The sequence below is a fragment of the Homo sapiens genome, chromosome 21 (assembly GCF_000001405.40).
Source record: "Homo sapiens chromosome 21, GRCh38.p14 Primary Assembly".
NCBI lineage: Eukaryota > Metazoa > Chordata > Mammalia > Primates > Hominidae > Homo > Homo sapiens.
Window position 1 is genome coordinate 18,021,817 of NC_000021.9, and position 23,179 is coordinate 18,044,995.

The window sequence follows — 23,179 nt, forward strand, 5'->3', positions numbered from 1 at the left end:
GAACCCAAGTCATTCCCCACAAAGGAATTTGTGTTCCTAAAACATCACTGCAAGAGTGTTATTATCTGAATATTTGTGTCCTCTCCACCTTAAATTCATATGTTGAAAAGGTAACTCCTAACATGATGTTACTTAGAGGTGAGGCCTTTGGGAGGCAATTAGGTTTAGGGGAGGTCATGAGGGTGAAGCCCCCGCCACCAATGCCCCAGGAAATTAGTGCTATTATAAGAAGTGATACCAGAGAGCTTGCTTCTCTCAGGATCACTGTATTATTTTCCTGGGACTGCTGTAACAAATCATCACAAACTTGAGGGTGTTAAACAGCAGACACTTATTCACTCACATTTTTACAGGCTAGAATCTAAAATCATGGTGTCAGCTGGGTTGTGCTTTCTTCAAAGGGTCCGGGAAAGATTTCCTCCCTTGAATCTTTCGGCTTCTGCTAGCTACAGGCTTTCCTTGGCCTGTGGTTGCATCACTCCAGTATCTGCCTCCATGGCCACATTGCCTCCTCTTCTGTCTCATATTTTCTTGTCTTTCTCATATAAGAATATTTTTCTTTGGATATAGGACACACTTGGATAATCCAGAATGATTTCATCTTGAGATTCTTGATTTAATTACATCTGCAAATGGGACAAGTTTTCAAATAAGATAACATTCACAGGCTCCAGGCATTTGATGTAAATATCTTTGAGGGGCTATTTTTTTGGTCTGCTACATTTCCTCTTTGAGATTTGGGTATCTCGAAATTAATCAATAGGAAGGTTTTAAGGAGAAAAATAGGCATTAGGGAGTCTAATTTTCCATTCCCCCAGCCACAAGTGTCTAGTTACTTTTGAGTAGTTAGATTGGTTGACTTTTCCAAGAAATCCTTCATGCCCATTATTTCACTCTTATTCCTTTATTCTTTTGTCATGGGAATGCTTTTCTAAACTCAATTCAACATGCAGTTAACTCATACAGAGAAACTCCTAGATGTTGTGTATTGTTCTAAACTCCAATGAGCATTATCTTGTTTAGTCTTCACAATAAACAGAGACACTTAGAGGTTACTTGCTCAAGTTCCTTTGGAACCCAATCTCTTGATTCCAACTTTAATGCTTTCTCCACTCCTCTTAAGAGATAAGCATGAAAGGGCAAGTTTTGGGAAGGAGAAAGGCAGGCACATGTTAAGCTGGTAACGGCTGTTGCCTAAATGCCTAATGAAAGATTTCATAGGAATGATCTCATAGTTATATGAGAGCAAGAATGGGTCATGGCCAGCACTGGAGTGTCTGTCTAAGAACACTTAAAGGAGAGATAACCCACCTACTTCACTAGTGTCCTTGGGTTTGGCCTATGTCAGGATACAGGTGGGTCTGATTGCTTAGCTGTAGCAACTGGCTGACACTAGCTGGGGATAAGGGGGTGGGGACTGGCTCACTACAAAGAGATTCCCCAGCTGGAGCTGCTCTCAAGGGGAGGTGGTGTGGGGGCTTAGCTGCTGTGAAAAACTGGGTGGCCAGTTGGTTGTGGTATGAGCCAGACTGAGAGGGATGTTATTTACGGGAGCCAGTTCCAGCTGGTAGTCATACAGGATGAGGCCACCCTGCAGAGATGGTAGCAGGCAGGGGTGGGAAAAGCGTGGGCCAGGGACCAGTGCTGAGCTTGGGTAACAAAAAGGATGTCGCGAACCCAATCAGGAATGAAGGGCAACTGAGTGTCAAATGTGTGGAGTTGTTGGCTGTGCATCTGGGTCCACTCTTGTTGGTAAAGAGGAGCCTGGCTGGGGCAGGCACGGTGCCTCATACTGTTCTGAGTTTGTCCCCTGGATTATCTTTGGCACAAATGCTTTAATTTGTTTTCTCCCCTTAACCAATTACATTGGTAGGAAAGTCATAGGCAGGTTTTATAGCAGTATTTACCCTTTACCCTGTATATGACCTTAATATTTTTGATCTACAAAATGTAAATATTTTTACATTCCACCTCTCTTTCTCATACAGAAAATGTGAGGATCAATAAAACAGTATACATATGGCTTTCCTGGAAAGAATTGCTATGGAATATAAACGCTTCTTGGAAAGGAGATGAAACGGCACAGAGTATCTGATTCTCAAAGCATGCAAAACTAGTGATTAGTTATGGTAAAAGAGAAGGCAAGAGACAGTCCCCCTATGAGAATAACTTTGGTTGACTTACACTGTTTTTACAATGTATTTGTTTACTGTGTTGAAATTATTGGCCAGAGATTCTGACATGAGTGTTTTTTATTTCCTGCATCTCCAACTAAAACTCCTCATTTCTTTTTCTTTTTTAAAAATTTTTTGCTGCAAGGACAAAAAAATGCTCCCCATTTCTTTTTTAATTAACTTAGTTGCTAACGAGGAGATTCAAAACCTAAATGTTTAGAATATATTTTGGAAATCCTTCTAACCATGATAATAAAGACGAGGTCTCACTTGTTTGCCTATACACTACTGGTATCCTATTCTTTCTTTGATTTTGAATGTTATATCCTGGTATAGATAGACCCGTGGGCATAACAGTGATGGAGAAAAGGTAGGGCAGGGCGCAAGTCCTGAACTTTGACCTAGAAATTCAGATGAAATAAAAATTCTAAACTGGTTTATTTAGGATCATATACATATGAAAACATAAAAAATGGGTATAATGAAATTTCTGCCTGATTCGTGAGCAAATCCAAGGATGTTCTCAAGTGGGAGCATTTTGCTTCTTTGCTTTCCTGCCTGACTGAAAAGAGGAAGTTCTGAAGATGGGAAGTCTATGGATGGCACTTTTCTGGAACTGGCAGGGTGTACCTGACATAGTGGGAAGGAGGGTAAAGAGTAGTGGCCAAATCCACTGAATCAATCCTTACCTCATTCTTTGATGATATCATGAAGCATTTCGCCAGTCTTTAGAAGTCCTGTTGTATTGAGTATCATCCTCCTAGAAAAGTCCACGCAGAACTGTAATGCCATGGGAGTTTATTTGGCTAATCCATAGAGGATGGTGGAGTTGCATTCTCTTATCAGAAATATACCTTCTGCACTCCCACCACTCATCGACCCAGAGAATTTTATATTATTAAATAGAATACAAGCCAGAACTATTTGCATTTACATTACTTAATTAATGTCGAGCAATCACAAGAACTGTGACTATATCTTGGGACTTATACCTGCTTGACCTAGCCTGCACACCAAAGTGATACCTTCCAGAACCAAAAGAACAAAATAATTTATGTTTCAATAGTTACAGAAAAAAGTGATTCTCAGTTTTTAAGGAGCTGTGTTGTTCTTGATTCTGCTAATCAGGTTCAGAAGTACTGAGTTTTAGATTCAAAACACCTAGCAATAAATTTAAAAAAACCAAAGATTTAAAAGTAGACATTTATGTTTCTTCTAAAAAATTATCAAATAAAATGCTAAAATATCAGACAGTCTGTGTCACTACTGGTCACTTGGCTAGCTTAACCTTATATATTAAACACATTAAACAATGTTAGTGGTATAAAACATATGCATACATTGTCATATTTTGCTCTATGATTATTAAGAAAAATAGAATGATAGAGGAAAATAATTGATGTGGTAGAGTCTTTATGAAAATATTTCTTTTTCTTCCAAAGCCCCTCTGGCTATCATCTTATTTTTATAGAAATGGCAGGTATCCATATTTTACAATAATTTTCTCAGAGATGGAAGTAAATCTATGTCCCTCTACTTCTTCGTTCGGTTTCAATACATATTTCATAGCATTCTTAATTTTCAAGATATGACATAATTTATTTTTTTATTTTTAGTTATTTTTGTTGCGTTAATTGGCATATTAGATTGCTAGGGCTGCCGTAACAAAATACCCCCAGACTGGATGTCTTTAACAACAGAAATTTAGTTTCTCACAGATCGGGGAGCTAGAAGGCTGCGATCAAAGTGTAGGCACGTTGATTTGATTCTGAGGCTTTAACTCTTTGACTCGAATATGGCTGCCTTCTCCCTTCATCTTCCACGGTCTTTCCTCAGTCTCAGTGTGTGTGTGTCTGTGTCCAAATTTCCTGTTCTTATAAGGACCCGAGTCATATTGGACTAGGGCCTACCCTACAGACCTCATTGTAACTTAAATACCTCTTTAAATACCTTATCTTCAAATGCTGTTACATTCTGACATACTGGGGATTGGGACTTCAACATATAAATTTTGGGTGACACGATTCAGCCCCTAACAATTGGTTTATTTCCAGCCACTGTAATATAGGTTTGGTGAGGTAAAGGATTTTTGTCTATTTTGATATACTAAGCACCTATATCAGTTCCTGGGACATAATAGACATGAAATTAGTATTTGCTGAATGAATAGATAAATGAATCGGTCAATGGATAAAACCAGTAAGTTGAGTGACAAATACGTCAACCTCAGAGCTCTCTACATCTAACAGATGCCACATTTGCTACTAAAGATCATTTGAACTTGAATTAGTAAGATTTGAACAGCCTTAGTTCTGCTTAGGCATATCAGTAACATTTGTGGGTAAAGCCTGTAATTAGAAATAAGTACCAAATAAAATGCATTAATAATTTCAAAATGAAGAATAAAAAGCACATCAACTGTGGAGGAGAAACAGAACAGTAGGGGTTCGACAAGCTTGGATCACTTTAAGGACAAAGATTTGTAATTAAAAATGAAGTGAATTTAATCTTTGCTGCTAATCACTCCTGCACTGTTAGCCTGTTTTCATCAAACTAATTGATGGCATATGGAACAGATGCATGGTGAGATTACAGCTCCACTTTATGGGAGAGTTATAACAAATGTGACTTTCCCTCTATTACATGCATTAACATTCAGAAAATGCACTCCTTTGCTTTCTTCACATGCCAAAATTGGTTCTTTTGTGCAAAGCTGATTAAAAGGAATCAAAAGATGTTTAATACACATGCAATCCATTTGATTATCCTAAGTCGTTTCTGGAATGCTATGTGCACTGTAATGTGGAGGGCGCACATTCTTAACTTCAACTCCACATGAAAGTTTGTAGACAAAGGTTAAACACAATCTTTACTTTTTTTTGACATATTTCAAAATTCATTTTTGAAGGATGTGATAGTTAAAGTTTTATAAAATTTGCGTCTTCTGTTTTTAGAAAGATAATTTAAGAAAGAAGCAAGTAATACCTTTAAATTTATCTGTCCAGGCTGGGCGCAGTGGCTCATGTCTGTGATCCTAGTGCTTTGGGAGGCAGAAGTGGGTCGATTGCTGAAAGCCAGGAGTTTGAAACCAGCCTGGACAACATAGTGAGACCCCTATTACTATGAAAAAAAAATTAGCTGAGTGTGGTGGCACATGCCTCTCATTCTAGCTACTTGGGAGGCTGAGGTGGAAGGATCACTTAAGGCCAGGAATTTGAGGCTGCAGTGAGCCATGATGGTGCCACTGTACGCCAGCCTCTGTGACAGAGTAAGACCCTGTCTCTAAAAAGCAATCGTAACAATAAATAAAAAAAACTCTCCAGAAATAACATGTCCTTTCATTAGTTTTTTAATAGCAATTATTAAACTAAATAGGTATGGATCTAAATAATTCTCTTCTAATTATAGATTTTGAAGTCATTGAAGGAAAGCAAAATACAAATTATTAATGATGATAATATTGCTCTGTAGTTACACAGAAGAATCACATGTGAATGACTTAAACTTTGGCATGATTCATGTATGTTAGATTTAACGTAGGTAATGAGCATTTCACCTTGAAATGAGTGCTAGGAAACAGGAACTTAGGTAAAGTGCGATGCCTTTTAATATTAAGCACTTCTCTGTTCTTTTTAGCTTGCTTCTCAATTTTGTACCTTGCTGTGACCCCCAGAGTGATTTCAGTTTGCTATAGACTGAATGCTTGTATCCCTTCTCAAATTCATATGTTGAAATTCTAACGCATAACGTGGTGGTACTAAGAGGTGGGGCTTTTGGGAGGTAATTAGATCATGAGAGGAGAGCCCTCATGAATGGGCTTAGTGCCCTGATAAAGCAATACAAGAGAGCTTGCTTCCTCTCTCTGTTCTCTACCAAAGGAGAATACAACAAGAAGATGCCCATCTGTAGACCAGGAGGTGGTCCCTCCCCAGAAACTGGATGGGCCAGCACGTTGATTCTGAACTTCTAGCCTCCAGAACTGTAAGAAATAAATTTCTATTGTTTAAGCCACCTGGTCATGACATACTGTTATAGGAGCTCAAACTGACTAAGACACAGTTCCTTTAAACAGTATCAATACAAATACAACAATGAAAGAAACCTCATATTTCAGTGTGAATTTAAATGTCATCTCTTTGTTGGGAATTTTTTTGAACAAGTAAATTAGCTATCTCTGTTATTCCTTATCACAGCACCTTATTATTTCCTTTAGCTCTTCCTCCCCTCCCCTCCCCTCCCCTCCCCTTCCCCTTCCCCTTTTCCTTTTCTTTTTCTTTTTCCTTTTCCCCTTCCTTCCTTCCTTCCTTCCTTCCTTCCTTCCTTCCTTCCTTCCTTCCTTCCTCTCTGTTTCTTTCTTCTATCTGTGTAACTTATTATCTATTTTTACAGGTAAGTTTCATAAGATCAAGAACTAGACTTGTTTTGGTTGGGCACGGTGGCTCACGCCTGTAATCCCAGCACTTTGGGAGGCCAAGGTGGGTAGATCACCTGAGGTCAGGAGTTCAAGACCAGCCTGACCAAACATGGTGAAACCCCATCTCTACTAAAAATACAAAAAATTAGCTGGGCGTGGTGGCAGGTGCTTGTAATCCCAGCTATTTGGGAGGCTGAGGCAGAAGAATCTGTTGAACCTGGGAGGCGGAGGTTGCAATGAACCAAGATCCTGTCACTGCACTCCAGCCTGGGCAACAAGAGCAAAACTCCATCTAAAAAAAAAAAAAAAAAAAAAAAAGAACTAGTCTTGTTAACTACTTTATCTCCAGTGGCTGGACAGTTACTACTGCATAATATACATCCAGCAAATATTTGTTGAATATTGTTGAATAAGTGATTTCAAAGTCACTTATTTAGCCCAGCCTGGTTCATAGACAGATATATGTTTTGTCAGTTAAGGTAAATAATAGCTGGCATACCTATTTTCAATGATAAAAATGAAAGTAGATTTTATAAATTCATTGTCTCTTTTTATTCCCTGAACATGGTCTGGTTTAGAATTGCACATGAAAAATTATGAAGTGAGCTTAGCATCTCATGTTACCCATTATGCTTTCTCTTTCTCACCTTCTTTAATTTCTTAGAGTTCTTATGGCCTCTTTAATTTTTTTCTAATCAAAGAAAATGAGGTGAGAAGTCACTTTCACTTGGGTGCGGATGAACCAATATCATCTCTCCTAAAGCAATAGATCTATTTATAGGAATCTCAGCTTTAAATAGCATGAGTGATAATAATTCATAAATCAGTCAGACTCTAGGCAATGTGTTAAACATATATATTGATGTGGGGGATGTACAAATTCCTACTTTAATTTATGGCATTAGAATCACACCTTGCTTGCAGGCAGACATTTTGGCCACATGTCTGACATTGTTTGAATATATTATGAAGCCAGATTAAACAATCCTTGTGTATATTTTAAATTTTTTAGAAACAGAAGAATGAAATGAGTTTCACTGAAGATAGATGTGTTATGAAAACATAAACATTTTGAAACTTTGATCAAAATAGTAATCTTTACTTGTTTTTATGTGCAAAAAGGCAACAATTTAGGAAACTTTGTATATATTTAACATGTATCAGGGATATTTTATCTATCTATAAATTTAGCTAAGTCTCTATCTGATTGTTTATTTCTAGTCATCTAGAATCTGGAACCTTCCTGTTTTGGGGGGAATCTCAGGGAGGCTCCACTTCCCACAAAGAGACAAAGGAGGTAGGCATTCCTGTCTCAATGCCCTAGCAGCTAGGGCTCAGGTAAGTGAGCCTCAAGCAAATGGATGTTCAAGCCCAGGACACTGAATCTTATAATTAATTAAAAGATTTTCAAGTTAGTGGGAACTATGGAGTAAAGTCCAGGCGTGCAGTAGTGCTAGTGAGAACAACAGGAAGTGTCCTGTGATAGCATTGCAGCCACATCATCTCTGGGACATGACCTGGCTGTGTTATTAGCTTTTATCCTCTCTTGGATCCTGGGGCTTTCTGAGAGGCTTCTCTAGCCCCCTTGTCAATTATGTAAGGTACTGGAGATCTGTGGCAGGCAGGCTCTAACATAGCCCCCAGTGATCCCTCCCCACTGATTCTTGTGCCCTCGAGTAATCTTCTCTCTTTGAGAGTGGGCTGGACCTAATGGCTAACTTCTAACTAATAGGATATGGCAAAAGTGATGGGATGTTACTCTTGAGATTAGGCTACAAAGAGACTGTGACTTCTGTCATCGGTGTACGCATTCTCTTGCCTACTCTAAGGAAAGCCAAATGACAATTTGGAAACGACCTTACAAAGAGACCTGCATGGCAAGGAACTACCTGGTTGCCAGTCCATGTCTGGACAACGAGCAGCATGGACCTGAGGTTTGTTAACTCATGTGAGTGAGCTTGGAAACAGATCCTCCTTCAGTTGAGCCAGTAGGCTGGCTAGACCTGCTAGGAGTCTTGTGAGAGACCTTTTGTCAGAAACACCCAGCTGAGCCATTACCCACAGAAACTGATGTCATTAACCACAGAAACTGTGACATACTATAACTGCTCGTCGTTTTCCATTGTTAAGCATTGGATAATCTGTTACATAGAAATACATAAGTAATTAAATGTCCTTCCAGAAAATCTCTCTTCTGTTTAAGTAAACTAGATTAGGTTTCTGTTGGTTGCAATGAAGAATGCAGAAATTGTTACTAGGAATAGAAATGGATGGGATCGGACTGAAGACAGTGGAAATCTCTTTAGGATTCTGGAAAAAAATCCTGAAATTTATTGTATTCAATAAGAAAACACTTATTTAAAATTTTAATCTGTGGTCAATTTATAATAAAGTACCCTTTGAAGGCAAAATTTGGGTAAATCCAGTGTTTGCTACCTTAGAAAAATAGTAGAGGTATGTGGAATTTAAAGTCATGTAGCAGGGTGGCTTTTTCTAATAATATTGGGCAGATCAGAGGAGAATAACCAAGGGTAAGTTTCTAGATTTTCAGCAAGGCATAGATGTTTTATGACTTTGCCAAAGATTCAACAACTGTTTGAAGCCATAGGGCTGAGTCAGTCAAGAACCAAATGAATAGTTTGATCTAATTAGTTACTAAATTAGAATGCAGTCAAAATTTTGGTTCATAATGGCTCTTATATGAAAACGGAAACTCAGAATTGGTCTGGCAATATCTAGGAAGATGTGAAGCCCCTGGTGAAGCTGAAACTGCCAACTCCACTGAACTTCTCATGGCAACCAATGCAGACCCACTTCCCCTATCTGGAAAAGTTGTTCTCTCTTTGCCTAAAGATGTCATAAGTCTTTAACCTGTGGGAGATTCCTTACTAGGGCAACTTGCCTCATTTTCACTCTGAAAATACTTTTAATTGTTTACTTAGTTAGCTGATTGGAACCTATATTTAACAGTGGCCCATATTTAATAAAAGAGATGTCAGAAATTCCTTGGTAATAATAGAGAAGAAGAAGCTAAAGAATTTCAGAAGGCTTAAGAAATTGGGGTAATTTTATCTAATATGACCCAGCTGGGGCAGGACAGACTTTATTTGCCAAAATTATGAAAAATAGATTTTTTTGGGGGGGAGAAAAATGCCATTACATTTGCCATTGGAAAGGGGCTTTGGAGATTGTTCTCTGTAGATCAGCATACTATTAAATGCTACAGGTATAACTGGTTCCTTGGTTGCAGTGGGGATGGTTGAATCCTGGAGAGGCAGAGGCCAGGCTTACTTGCATTTTGTATTAGGTAGAGGGGGATAAAATAGCTGTTGAGTCCACTAAGATTCTACTTGAGGCCCAATAAATTACACTATTAGAGAATCCATAGCCTTTTTCCTAATTACCAAAGGGATCGATCCAATGACTCAGCATCTATGAATGAAGAGAGTTCAAATTACCTTTGAGAAAAAACAAGTATATGCTGTGAACCTTCATCCTAGGATTCTCCAAATTATTCTATTTCTACTTGCCATCACAGTTGTATCATTTATATGATTTTTTGGCACTGCCTGTGAATAGACACTAATTTACAATGCTACTGCAGATTACCAGTCATAGTATGGGCTTATGGAGAGTCAGCTGATAAACAGAACTCAAACCAGGTAGGGGGAACTTGGGAAGATGTTAGCAAAGGATAAAACATTTAGTTAGAGAGGAGAAATAAGGTCAAGATATATATTGTACAACATGGCAACTGTGGTTAATAACAATGAATTGAATACTTGAAAATTGCTAGGAGAGTAGATCTTAGGTGTTCACACCAGAAAAATGATAAGTGTATGAAATAATGCATATTTTAATTAGCTGTATTTATCCGTTATTCAATATATACATGTTTCAAAATATGTATATCATAAATGTATACAATTTTTATGTATCATTTAAAAACATTTTTAAAAATAACATTAAGAAGTTAGGAAAATACAGAATGCATACAATAAAGTTCTGAAGGGGAGAAAATAGATTTTTGACCCAAACAATGCTGAATCACTAGGGAGTCATTGGAGATTAGTGCCACAATACAATATTTGAAAGATTCGGGGGAATTGATTCCTACCCCTTTCTCATTTATCTCTCCAATATGACTGGTGCTGAAGATAGATGACTTCAGGAAAATGACAGGTGGTTACCTGAAATGAAACTTCTGTTTCAAATGTGATCCCCTTACTGGAGCAAATCAATGTACCCTAACATCTGGTGTGCAATTACTTACTTGAAAATATTTTTCTCTTATTTCCTTTTTTTTCCCCACTGAACAGAAGATACCAGAACTTTTAAAAGCTAGCACTGTCTCTCCAAACTGTGGCCCAGAATTCCATCGACATGTAGTTTCACTCTATTGTTCACCTGGTGCTGATAGAACCTGGAAAGCAGTTCTCTTAAAGGTGACGGCATGACATTTGCATGGCATTCATTCACTTGAAAATAGCTATTGAGTGCTTATTTTGTGTTAGTTTCCTTTTTAGTATTTAAAACGTAGCAGTGAACAAAAGGGAACAAATTCTTGTTCTCATAAGCTTACATCATGGAAGGGAGAGAGTAAGTATAAACAAGCATGTGTATGCATCACATATTAAATTCTGATGAATGCTATGCAAAGAACAAAAACGGGAGTAAACGAGGTCAGAGGATGATACTTAATATTGGGGGTTAGGGAAGGCTGAACTGATAGGATGATATACCAATGGAGACCTGATGGAACAGAGAAAATGCAACACAAAATATTTTGGACAAGAAAGTTCAAAATTTAAGGAATAGGTAATGCAAAGACAATAAAAGCGGTGACCTGCATTTCACTGTGAACATAGCAGCTGGTACACTGAGTGAGGTAGGGATAAGGACAGAGGCAGGAGATCATATAGGTCATTGTAGTCTGTCTCTGAGTGAATTGGGAAATGGCTGGTTTTGTGCAGAAGTATGACATTATCTGACATATATTTAAAAAGAACCATTTATTTATTATTCTCTTCAGGTGGTATCAGAAACTGATTCCTCCCATAGCATCCTGCCACAAAATAATATTGCAACTTTAATTAATATCAATGTTTGGATTTATTTATGGTAAGATACCACTGGGTGACAGTCCTGTGACCTCTGACTGCAGGGACCAAATCATTATCACTTAGAGAATGAGTGGAACTTAATAGTTTACACCCAGCAGCAGAAATGTGGGAGTAACAGCCCATTGGCCTTTTTCAGTTGTCAAAGTTATGTTATGGGTATAGTAGGGTATAGCCTTGGATCTGTATAACTCTATGTTTCTGAAGAACTAGTGAGACAGAACCATTGAGAACATATTTACATGAGGGATCATTAAAATACCTGGGAAAGAACTCAACATAAGGGAAGAGAATCAAGACGCTCACACACAATGTGACTTCAGAGACCTCTCATTTAAAATAACATAGCTTAAGTTTGGCTGATATAGTCTGTACTATATTCTCACAAAAATACTTTAAAAATAGAAAAAAGAAAAAACCTTATAACATCTTAAGATAAGTTTGAGTATCAGCGTGATTTCAGAATCTGAAAGGAATTTCCACTGACTCTAAGGTATATGAAATTGAATTGAGAACCCTATGAGTGGCCCATCCAAACAATGACTTGGCAAGCTTGCCCACTGTTTCTCTTGTTCATATTATGACTGTGCTTTATTCTGGGAATGGCTATGCTTCTCAGTCATGTGTAGGAAATCATCTTATAAGATGATTTCTATAATATGTAATAATGGAAATGTTAGGAAACAAAATTTGTTGCATTATGTCATGCAAACTTTGCCTCCTTGGCACTTTGAAATCTGTTAGAAAACATAAGAGTTTCTCTTCTCTGTGCACCAGGTGACCTGAAATACATAGTAATTGATGTCGTCATCTTGAATATAAAAGACAAAGTGTGGTGCAAGTGTAGCCCTTCCAGGTCACCACCACCTGTCAGGCAGCAGGGCTTGGGAAGTCTTCCACAATCCACAGAATATGGACTAAGATTTATGGAATAGGATTTACTGGGGAAAGTCTACAAATTAAGAGCCAATAGGAAGGAAAGAAGCATACAGTACCTGCATTTTCTTCATGTCATGGAGTTAATGCCATGGCCTGGGTGGTCTAATAGAAGTGGAATATATTTGTATTAGCGTGGAGGGTCTCCATTCTCCTGTGATTCTTTCTTCTATTGGGTAAATGTGAGAACAACAATTGTCAGCGGGCATGCAATAGACTACTGGGTCAGCAGGCAATCTGAATTTAGAAGACAGCTTTCTATATAAATTGTCTGGGTAATCTTGAACCCCAGTACTTAGATAGTATGTGAGGTCTGTAGGAGACTGAAGTTCTTTCTCCAGGGAGGAAAAAGCCACCAGTAACATGAAAATTTGACTTTAGGTATATTCTCTTTGACTAGAGAAGGAGAGAAAGCCTCAGGCTCGCCACTTGTTAAGGGAGTTCAGAGAGACCTGGTTGCTGTACCACAGTAGGTCATCTCAGATGAGAGAAACAGTTATCAGACTCCCAGTGCATGACTCCAGACAGACCTCTTTTTGTCCACTCCCATTAAGATGGATTGCAGAGAACCTTAAGTTCTGTTTGGTCCTTTGCAACATTTCAGGGAGAGAGGTCTTACTAGCAGAAGATTGAAAAATCTGTTTTTAGATGAGCCTTTATATATGTCTGTATGTTTACTATTTTCTGTGTTCTTCGTTTCCTTGTGTAGACCCATTTCTCCATTTAGTATCGCTTTTCCTTCATTCTGAAGGACTTGCTTCATTTTGAAAGATAATTTGGCTGGGTATAGAACACCAGGTTGTGAGTTTTCTTTCTTTCAGTATTTTAAATACGTTTTATCACTTGCATTGTTTTTGATAAGAAAACTGTTTTCATTCTTACCTTTGTTTCCCTGCACATAGTGTTTTTTTCTCTGCTTTTAAGACTTCCTCTTTATAACTGGTTTTAAGCAATTCGAATATCATCTGCCTTGGTGTCTTGATATTTCTTGTGCTTGAAGTTTGTTGAACGTTTTGGATCAATAATTTGCAGTGTTCCTCGAATTTGGAATATTTTAGGCCACTATTTCTTCAAACAGTTTTTTCTTTTCCCTCACTTCTCCTTTGGATACTTCAATTTCATATATACTAGTCTACTTGAAGTTGTCCCACAGTTTGTTAATGTTGTATTACTTCTTCTTTTTCAGTCTTTGTTTACGTTGCAGATAGTCTCTAGTGCTATGTTTTCATATTCACTAATCTTTATTCTTCAAAACCTAATCTGCTATTAATTTTGTTCAGTGCATTTTTAATCTCAGATGTTAAAGTTTTATCTTGAAAATTCAATTTGGATCTTCTTCTTTCATGTCTCTGCCTAAAATGCTCAATCTTTTCTTTATTTTCTTGAATATATGAATTATGGTGTGTATTAATGTCCTTATGTACAAATCATAGCATCTGTGTCATTTTTGATCTGTTTCTATTGATTGATTTCTTTCTCTTCATCCCACATCATATTTTCCTCCTTTGCATATTTGGTAATTCTTACTTGGCTGACAGACATTATACATTTTATCTTGATTATTTTTATATTCCTATAAGTATTCTTGAACTTTATTCTGGGATGCAGTTAAGTTACTTGGAAACTGTTTTATCTATTAGAGTCTTGCTTTTGAGCTTTGTTAGGTGAGATCATAGAAGCCTGTAGTCTAGGGCCAATTATCCTTTATTACTAAGGCAATACCTTTCTGAGTACTCTACCTAATGACCTGTGAATTCTGAGATTTTTTTCAGTCTAGCTAGTAGGAACACAAACTATTCCTGGTTATGTGTCAGTTCTGGGGAATATTACCTGTAATCCTTTTGGCATTTTATCCTTGGCTTTGTGTAGTTTCCTCACACACATGCAAAGATTAACACTCTGCTGAAGGCTCAAGAGGTATCCTCTGCATATTTCAGGGGCTTGCTTTGTGTATAGGACTGTACGCTCTGGCACTCTGCCCTGTGAACTCTAGCTACCTTGGCCTCCTTGGAATCCTAACTCAGTTCAACTCAGGAAGACCACTGGGTTCTGCCTGAGCTTCCTTTCCCTGCACTGTGGCCTGGAAACTCTGCCTAGGCACTAGAGTGGGACAGCGATAGGTCTTCTTTTGTTTATTTTCTCTTTATCAGAAATCAGTCTTCTTTCCATCTTGATTGAAAACAGTTCTATTATATATATTATCATGAAGAAAAATTTAAGGCAGTATTGGAAAGCTTTTCTAATTTTTTTCTGTTACTTGATGTTATAATTGTTTCTTTTCCTTGTAAAATTAAACTTTTTTTTGATTTGGGCAGATATGAGTGACTTCAGTAAAATTCCCATAAAATAATTAGAACTCTAATATTAGCCAGGAAACTGGGTGGAGTTCTTTCTATTGTAAAGATTTTACTATTTATGGCAGCTTGAATAGCATTGCCCTGCCATATTCAATCATTAACCAATAATATTTTATCCATGCAGATTTTGTACCTATTTTAATATCTAAAACCACACCTGAAAACCAAAACAATTTTGAGGAGACTGATATCTAGAAGGTTAGTATGCCCAATAAAGGTATGAAGAATTCTGGTAGCATTACCTTCTGGAGATTTTAGATTTCCATATATAACATATTTTCACAATATCAGACAATGGGGATGAGTAAGAATTATATTTTAACTCCAACAGACCTACATTGAATTAAATCCTGCTAGTTCTGATACTAATAATTAGAAAACTTATACAGCAAGCGATCCTATGTCTTGGAAGGAGATTTAATTGGCATCCAAGTAAACAGAAAGTTGGGCTAAGTGAAATGTATATATTCTGACTTTTAAAAAATTTTAGGTGTGGAAAATTCTTATTTTGTTAGTAGGAGTAGACAATGTAAATGGAGGAACTCTCAAAAGTCTTCTAAAATGAAGATGGGATAGATCCTAAAATGGTAGAGTAAGAACAATCTTTTAAAATTATCCATAGCAGGAAACAGGAAAAATTATTAGACTCCTACCATCTTTTATAGCACTATGAAGTTCTGGCCTCTATGAAATAGAAGCAGAAAGTCATTAGGAAGACAGAGGTTGAGATGGAAAGGTAACATAATGATAGAAGTAGTAATGAGAAGTGTTAAGTGTGTAGTGAAGGGTAGAGCTGATACCATCAAAGAATTAAATCAGTGATGGAGGATCACTTGCAGAAGCTCTCCAAGATCAGAGAGAATAAAGAGAGACCAATAAAAAGAATAAGTGGGTAAATAATACATATAGAGGAAAAGAACTTGTAGAATGTTTGATGGTTTTAGGGTATCTGACATAAACATTAGAACACTTAGCAGCAATAACCAGTGTTAAGAGAGGGGAATATACAAACTTTAAAAAAAATCAGCATACAGATTTAACATTTTCCTCTCATTTATGCAGAATCAATTCTACAAGTCTTGCATTGTTTTTGATAAGAAAACTGTTTGCATTCTTACCTTTGTTTCCCTGCACATAATGTTTTTTTCCGTGCTTTTAAGACTTCCTCTTTATAACTGGTTTTAAGCAATTTGATTATCATCTGCCTTACAAATACAGCTTTACAATTTTTTTTAATCAGAAAAACATCTGGTACTTTCTCTTTTGGTGAAAAGTTTACTAAGTTGCTTCCAAAAGAATGATTTTTTTAGAAAAGACTAGCCTCAGACTTCTCTTTAGTACTAAATGTCATAATGAAATGACATTAAAATGGAGAATTTTGAGGGAAGAAATTTGAAATGCTAAATTGTGCATTTCCCCAAGGTGTCTTTTACGTTTCTGAGCAATAGAAAGACATTCCCAATGTATAAGGGCTCAGAAGATATATTCCACATGTAAATCAAACAAAAGTAGACAATAAATTAACCTCAGGCATTTGAATGATCATCAAAAATTATAAATTCAAGAGAAGTGGTAATTATGAAAGACATTGATTATGAATGATTTTTTACACAATTTGACACGAATTCAGGAATCCAGTTAAATATAGTTTTAGCTGGACTCTATGTCATGATAGTTAAAGTCGTTTCTGAGATAGTTTGCTGAATTTTTATTTTTTTGCTTTCACTGTATTTCCATTGACAGTGACAAGTGTTTCTTATGCTTTATTATTGAAACTAAGTTTAGATAGAAGCTCTTCCCATATTTGATGACCACTTAAAGTAAGTGGGAAAAATACTTGCCAACAATCACTAAATTACTTGCACTTGGAAAATTACTAAACACATACTTCAGAGTAGAGGTGCATAGAAAACTTAATGACCATGAGATATGAGTGGATAGTTTCTGTATCATTAAAAATCAAGTAAAATGACTTGATGTAAGATTTGGGGTATTTTAGATATTGGGAATGCCTGACAAATAATCTAGTGGCAAACATTAATTGTAAGTCCCTTTTCAATGTCATCTTACATGTAGAATTTTTGAATATTTCATCCATGGTACTTAAAAATAAGAATCTAAAATATGATCCCAGATATGTAAACAAAATATGCTTGGATAAAAAGAAGATAAAGACTTACCTAGATAAGTCCATGGGGATCGCAAGATGTCTTTCTTCTTATGAATTGATGGTCCAAACTGAAATTTTCATTCCATCCCATTTTGGGATGGAAGCTATTTAGTTTAGTGATAATTCTGAATCGAGGGATTCTTAATGGTCAGGATTTATGCTGCCTCAATGTCAAGTCTGTACTAACTCCTCTGTGTTAACACATTACAAATAAATCTGAGAGATATATATCTGTTATTTATCAACTCTTAGATATTCATTAAGTTTGCTATTCTAATATTTTAAGAAGAAATCTATTTTGATTGTTCATGATAATGTAATAGAAAGTGTTAAGTTTGTAGCTTTAGTAGTTAGGGGTAGGGATTGTGGTAGGGAGTAAAGGCCTTAAGGTCAAAGAGTCATATCCCATGCTGTTCTCTAAATCTTGTATGAAATCTTGGACATCATGGATAAAAACCTTAGACATCATGTGTGAAATGTGTTCCTTGCCTATTCCTACCTCTCTTCAATGGATCTTAGAATATTTGACCTGAATTTCTTATTTGGGAACACTTTTATATTGTTTTCTATATTCTAAATCTAGAAATATTGGCCAACTTTTCATTCGACATCTAAGGAACTCTAGAGCCTTGAACTTGCTTTGACAATATGGCTTCTGGTTCTAATTTGGGGCTCCTTAGAGATCCTGAATATAAATTACTCCCTATCCTCTATTACTTATTGGAAAAACCTAACCCCTAATCCTTATGTAACTCATCTTGATGCTACCAAAACCTCAACTCTGGCACCATGCCTTTTTTAAAAAAATTAAATAAAAGTTAAAATAACAATTAAAGCCTTTGCAAATTACCCTTTAAGAGATTTATGGATTGCTATTTTTTCTGCTTAACTCCAGTAAAAGGAATTTGACATTTATATAGATATTAGTTTTCATTTAACACATGTTGAGACTTTAATCCTTATTGGGTCTTGCTGAGCCTCCAAACATGGACTAAGTTCACAGGATAGTTTTTCACAGATGGATCACATCACATAAATAAGAATGTAACTTCACTCAGAACATTCTTTCAAAAGAAATATGTTATTTAACTATTCAAACCTCTTATCATAATTGAGTCTTATAATTTATTTGTTAAAGGCCCTATTTATCTTTGCTCATGAAATAAAATATTCAAAAACAGATTACAAAGTAGCATGGTCATGCAAACTTTGGTAAAAGACTCAGAACACTTTATGTCCACTACATGTGGACAATTCTTTCTGCATATGAACTGCCCTTTCCTGCATCCACAGCTCTTATCCCTTCACTCTGTATTATCTTTACAAAAGAGAAGGAGACGACATACAAAATTAATTTAAGTAAAGGTCTGCATTACAACTGAAAGCCATTAACTGGCAGTGGCTCACCAAAGTACAGGCAAAAATCAATTTTAATTAGTATTTTTGGCTTTAATGAAAAGTGATTACAAAATTGGCATTTTAGCTAATACTGTTGAGATTTATGGTGAGCTGATGCTAATTAATTTTCTGTTGAATTGCTGTAGGCCTTAGTGTCTTCAATAAAATGGTATATTTGCTGATACTAGGGCTGCATCAGCAGTTCAGTTTTGTAACAAAAAGCTTCTTAATGGTTTACAGGTGTATTTTACACTATTGCTCTAAGCTACAGTGCATTATTATTTTTTCCATAAAAAGACTGTTATAGGTAATCAAATTTCATACCATTTTATTAATTGGGACCATTTTATTTTAGTGTATCTTGAGTGTTATCCACAGAACTCTTTACTTCAAATATAGCTTTCTTTTGTCTACTCGCAGGTGGTAAAAAAATCAGATGATATACTTTAATTAGAGAACATTTCATGACTGATTTCTCTTTATTTCTTCATTTTTCCTCTTCCCTTGATTGTATTGGTAATAAATTGGCTTCTGAACCTAGTTACATGCTTTAGATCCATTTTAAGTCAGGAAATAAAAAAAGAATTAAGCTTTACAATTTACTCTTGTCATATGATTTGAGTTTTAAATGCTCTTTAGCTTGCTTTTATTGTGATTATTTCCTCCCTTTTTTAGAAAAGTGAAACAGTCCTTACTGAAGACTAAAAATTATATGATGATTTCTGTAAGCTGAAAATTTGTATCCTGGCATTGATTTGGTTGGACCTATGAAAGTCATTTTGTTCATTTGTTATCGGTGTTATTGGCCTGTCATAGACAGACACAAGGTGGCGTTATCCACACTCAAAAGGATGGCCTATGGAGAAAGAGAGATAGTGTTGGAGTCTTAACTGACCGTGATTGGCTTTGGGGACTTGGGTAAGTTACTTAACCTCTCTAAGCTTCTGTTTACTCAACTGTGTGATGAAAATAACTATGCCCATGTCAAAATATATTTTGAGCATTAAAATTAAAAATGACTTAAAGCAAAACATTCAACAAACAATAGCTATTTTTTTTTAAATGAAAGCCATTTTATTTTGAAACAATGTTTTGTTAAACATCATTTTATTACCTACTGAAATATATATAAAATTGGGTTACAGATTTTTATAATATTTAGGATTCACGTCATGCAGATGCATTTTGTGATCGAAAAAGTCTAAGCACAATATATGATTAAATCATTAATTAGTAAAACCAAAATGATAGAAAATTTAACTGAGAACTATAAGTCTTAGAATTTTGTAGTAGACTGAATGGAATAGGCTCAATTTAAAATAACTGAGATGTCTAGTTCAGTTCTTTTTCTTTTAAAATGAGTACATAGAGGCTCATATTACAAGTTAAATGACTTGATTAATAAATTACAGGTGAGTCTTAGGAAGGGCTTGATCAATTCTACTCTAGTGGCAAATTTTATGGCTTTTATATGTGCTAAAGGGAGCCAAATTCAAATTGATCCACTAGAGATTAGCAATAACTATATGAGAAAGCGTTTGTAGTCCAGATTTAGGATGATATGGGAAGCTGAATATATTTTTTTTAATTTTTAGGTAGAATTTGGAGAGGTGAAAAAATCTTGCTTCTTCTCATTGTTGCCTAAAACATTAAACAGCTTATCACATGAGCTGATGAACGGTGTCCTGTAGGCTTTTAGAAAGTATACTCTTCAATATCCCACTTAAAATTTGAAAAAAAATGTAAATGTTCCACTGAAAAGACTCTGGGAATATTTTCTGTTTAAAAATTTTTAATTTTAATATTTTAGAAGGGGAGACAATTTGTTTTCCAGGAGCACAGCACAGATTTAAATACACATTTGCTAGTCAGGTCTTGGATGAATGGACCCCCTTCTCCCCACCCCCTTCTGCAAACCTTCTTACAGCCTGATTGAGATGGCCCCATTTTGGGGCCCACAAATTGTATAAAATATATCCTCATACCTCAGAGCTATGGCAATAAGAGACATGCTTGGTTTTCATTTTCCAGGTACAATAGAATTATAGAATTATAAATCAGAAAGAAGCCTTAGGGAATATTTATTCTAAAATTCTCATTTTGTAGATAAGGAACTTAAAGCACAGAGGAGTTATAAAACTTGCTCTTGTCACCCAGCCAGTGTGAAGCAGATCTGGGAACTACAGTTCAGGTGCTCTAAACCATAGCTTAGTGACCTCTCCTTTATTCTATATATCCAGTGGTTTAGAAATAAGTTAACCATTTTGTTCAAAATGTGCTTCATTTTATGTTTCTCACATCACTTGATGTGCATAAACTTTCAGGTAAAATATTTTAAGAGAGAAATTCTCTTGCGCAGAAGGTGAAATAATAGAGATACATATCTGGGATAGTTGCTGGGACACGAATATGCAAAATTGTTGAATTTTCAATGTGTCAGCTTTGGTCATTACTTAGTCTTCACCTTTGTATGTCCAGAAAACTTGATTTTGGGGCTGTATTTAAGAATGGTCATGTTCTGGCCATTTTTTTTTTGTTAACTAATTCAAAATACCTTTATGCAAAATGACAATATTGAACTACAGTGAGAAATTTAACTTCTGAGTGAATGAATGAATTATTATTTGCTGTTCTGGAGAAAAGTCTACATTAGGAAGACAAATTATAACTGCAAGATTGCTAATGAATCATAGACACAGAGAAGGGAAATTGGTTGTATGCTCTTAATGATCCTGGTCAGCAAGATGATTGCTAAATGAGTCTATCTCTACTATAGGGGTGTATTGGCCTAGAATACCAGAAAACTCATTGCAGGGCTAGCCTCAAGGGTGTGCAACCTGTGCAGTCGCACTGGGCCAACACACAGAAGGAACCCACTCTTGGTTTAATGCTCTGCTGTTGTTGTCCTGATGTTTTTAATAACATTATCTTTGGACTTGTGGTTTGTAAGTGAAGTCTGTTGGGACAAAGGAGCATGCCTGTGAATGAATAGAGGATATATATGCAGTATGTGAATCTGTCATTTCTTGCTGCCTTATTTTCATTGAGCATCTCGAACACAATAAGATGTTCCATGAACACAGAATTCCAGTAGACCCAGGATGTGTGGGAGTTCAGAGAGACTCAAAGTGTGTTACTTGTACTAAGTAAGCACAGAGCTGACAGCCCAAGTGGCCATTCTTTCCATTCTCACTAGAACGTGCTTAGGTTCCAGAAGGATGACATGATGCTATGAGAAACACTTCTATTCTTTCATACTCATGCTACTTTCCTGTATTAGTTACCCACCTAGGCTGAAAATGATGACATGGGAGGAAAAAGAGAGCAACCTTGTATTAGTCCATTTTCACACTGCTGATAAAGGCATACCAGAGACTGTAATTTATAAAGAAAAAGAGGTTTAATGGACCCACAGTTCCACAGGGCTGGAGAGGCCTTACAATCTTGGCGGAAGGCGAAAGGCATGTCTTCCATGGATGGTGGCAGACAAGAGAACGAGGGCCAAGCAAAAGGGGAAACCCCTTATTAAACCATCAGATCTTGTGAGACTTATTCACTATCACAGAACAGTATGTGGAAACCATCTCCATGATTCAGTTATCTCCCCGCCACAACACATGGGGATTATGGGAGCTACAATTCAAGATGAGATTTGGGTAGGGACACAGCCAAACCATATCAGACCTATAGTTTCTTTTCCTTTCAGTCCTTTTGAATTCTTCAGTAAACTGAAGGTAGAAAGTATTGGTAAAATGTGCACGTAATCAAGAAGTGAAATAAAAACAGTTGATTTAGTTTTGTGCTGTGTTTCTCCTTTGCTGGTAAGAATGAAATATATATGCATGTATGAGCTACAAAATGTGAATTGTGTGATTTCAATAATTTCACATACAAATGCTCTTGTATTTACATTTAAAACTAACATTGAACAATATAAATAGTGAAGTTCATGCTAATAATTTAAAATATTAATTTTTCTTCAGTTAGGAAGAGATTAAATAGTGAATAAAAAACACCACATCGTTGAGACTGCAGAAAAAAGAAAAATCTTTATTTTTTTAACACTTTTACTGGCACATTTTCCTGCTGTTTTAACTAACAACATTGAATTTTCACTTTGCGCTGTAACCTACAAATTTTGGAGTCAGTACTGACTCATTGTGGTCCATAAGAGAGCATTCTATATCATTCTCCAGACACACTGCCATTTTCTGAATTTCAAGCAGATAATCTTCTCTCTTTTGGTAGAAGGAAAAAGAAATACCTTTTTTTTCCTTTAGATCGATTACAATATAGTTGATTATATACTCTTTTATGATATCAATAATAATTCAGTCATGCCTTCTTGAGATTGTATCCTGGTCCTCTTGATTAAATTTTGATTTGATTTGCAAGCTAGCCTAAATTTACTCCAAGTTTACTCTTCAGATGGCTAATTTCATCCTACTTCACAGAGTTGTAAGGGCTTAATTTATGTATTCAATAAATATGTACTGAGCAGCTATTTCCAGCAGGGCACTGTGCGAGGTGCTGGGACTCAGCAGTGAGTAAGATAGACAGGGTCTATGTCGTTATGCAGATGCATGTGGGTGAGGGAGACAGACAATAAC

The 23,179-nt window shown here is 36.2% G+C and overlaps 1 protein-coding gene across 4 annotated transcripts in view; it reads left to right on the forward strand.

Moving 5' to 3' along the window:
* CHODL (chondrolectin) overlaps positions 1-23,179 on the forward strand; it is a 350,031-nt gene that overhangs the window by 104,477 nt on the left and 222,375 nt on the right. For 2 of the 4 annotated variants that reach the window (NM_001204176.2, NM_001204178.2), the window contains exon 2: positions 6,056-6,155. The exons of the other annotated variants lie outside the window; for them this stretch is intronic. The gene's annotated coding sequence lies outside the window, so the exon portion shown is untranslated. The remainder of the gene's footprint in view (positions 1-6,055; positions 6,156-23,179) is intronic. 4 annotated transcript variants of the gene reach the window in all.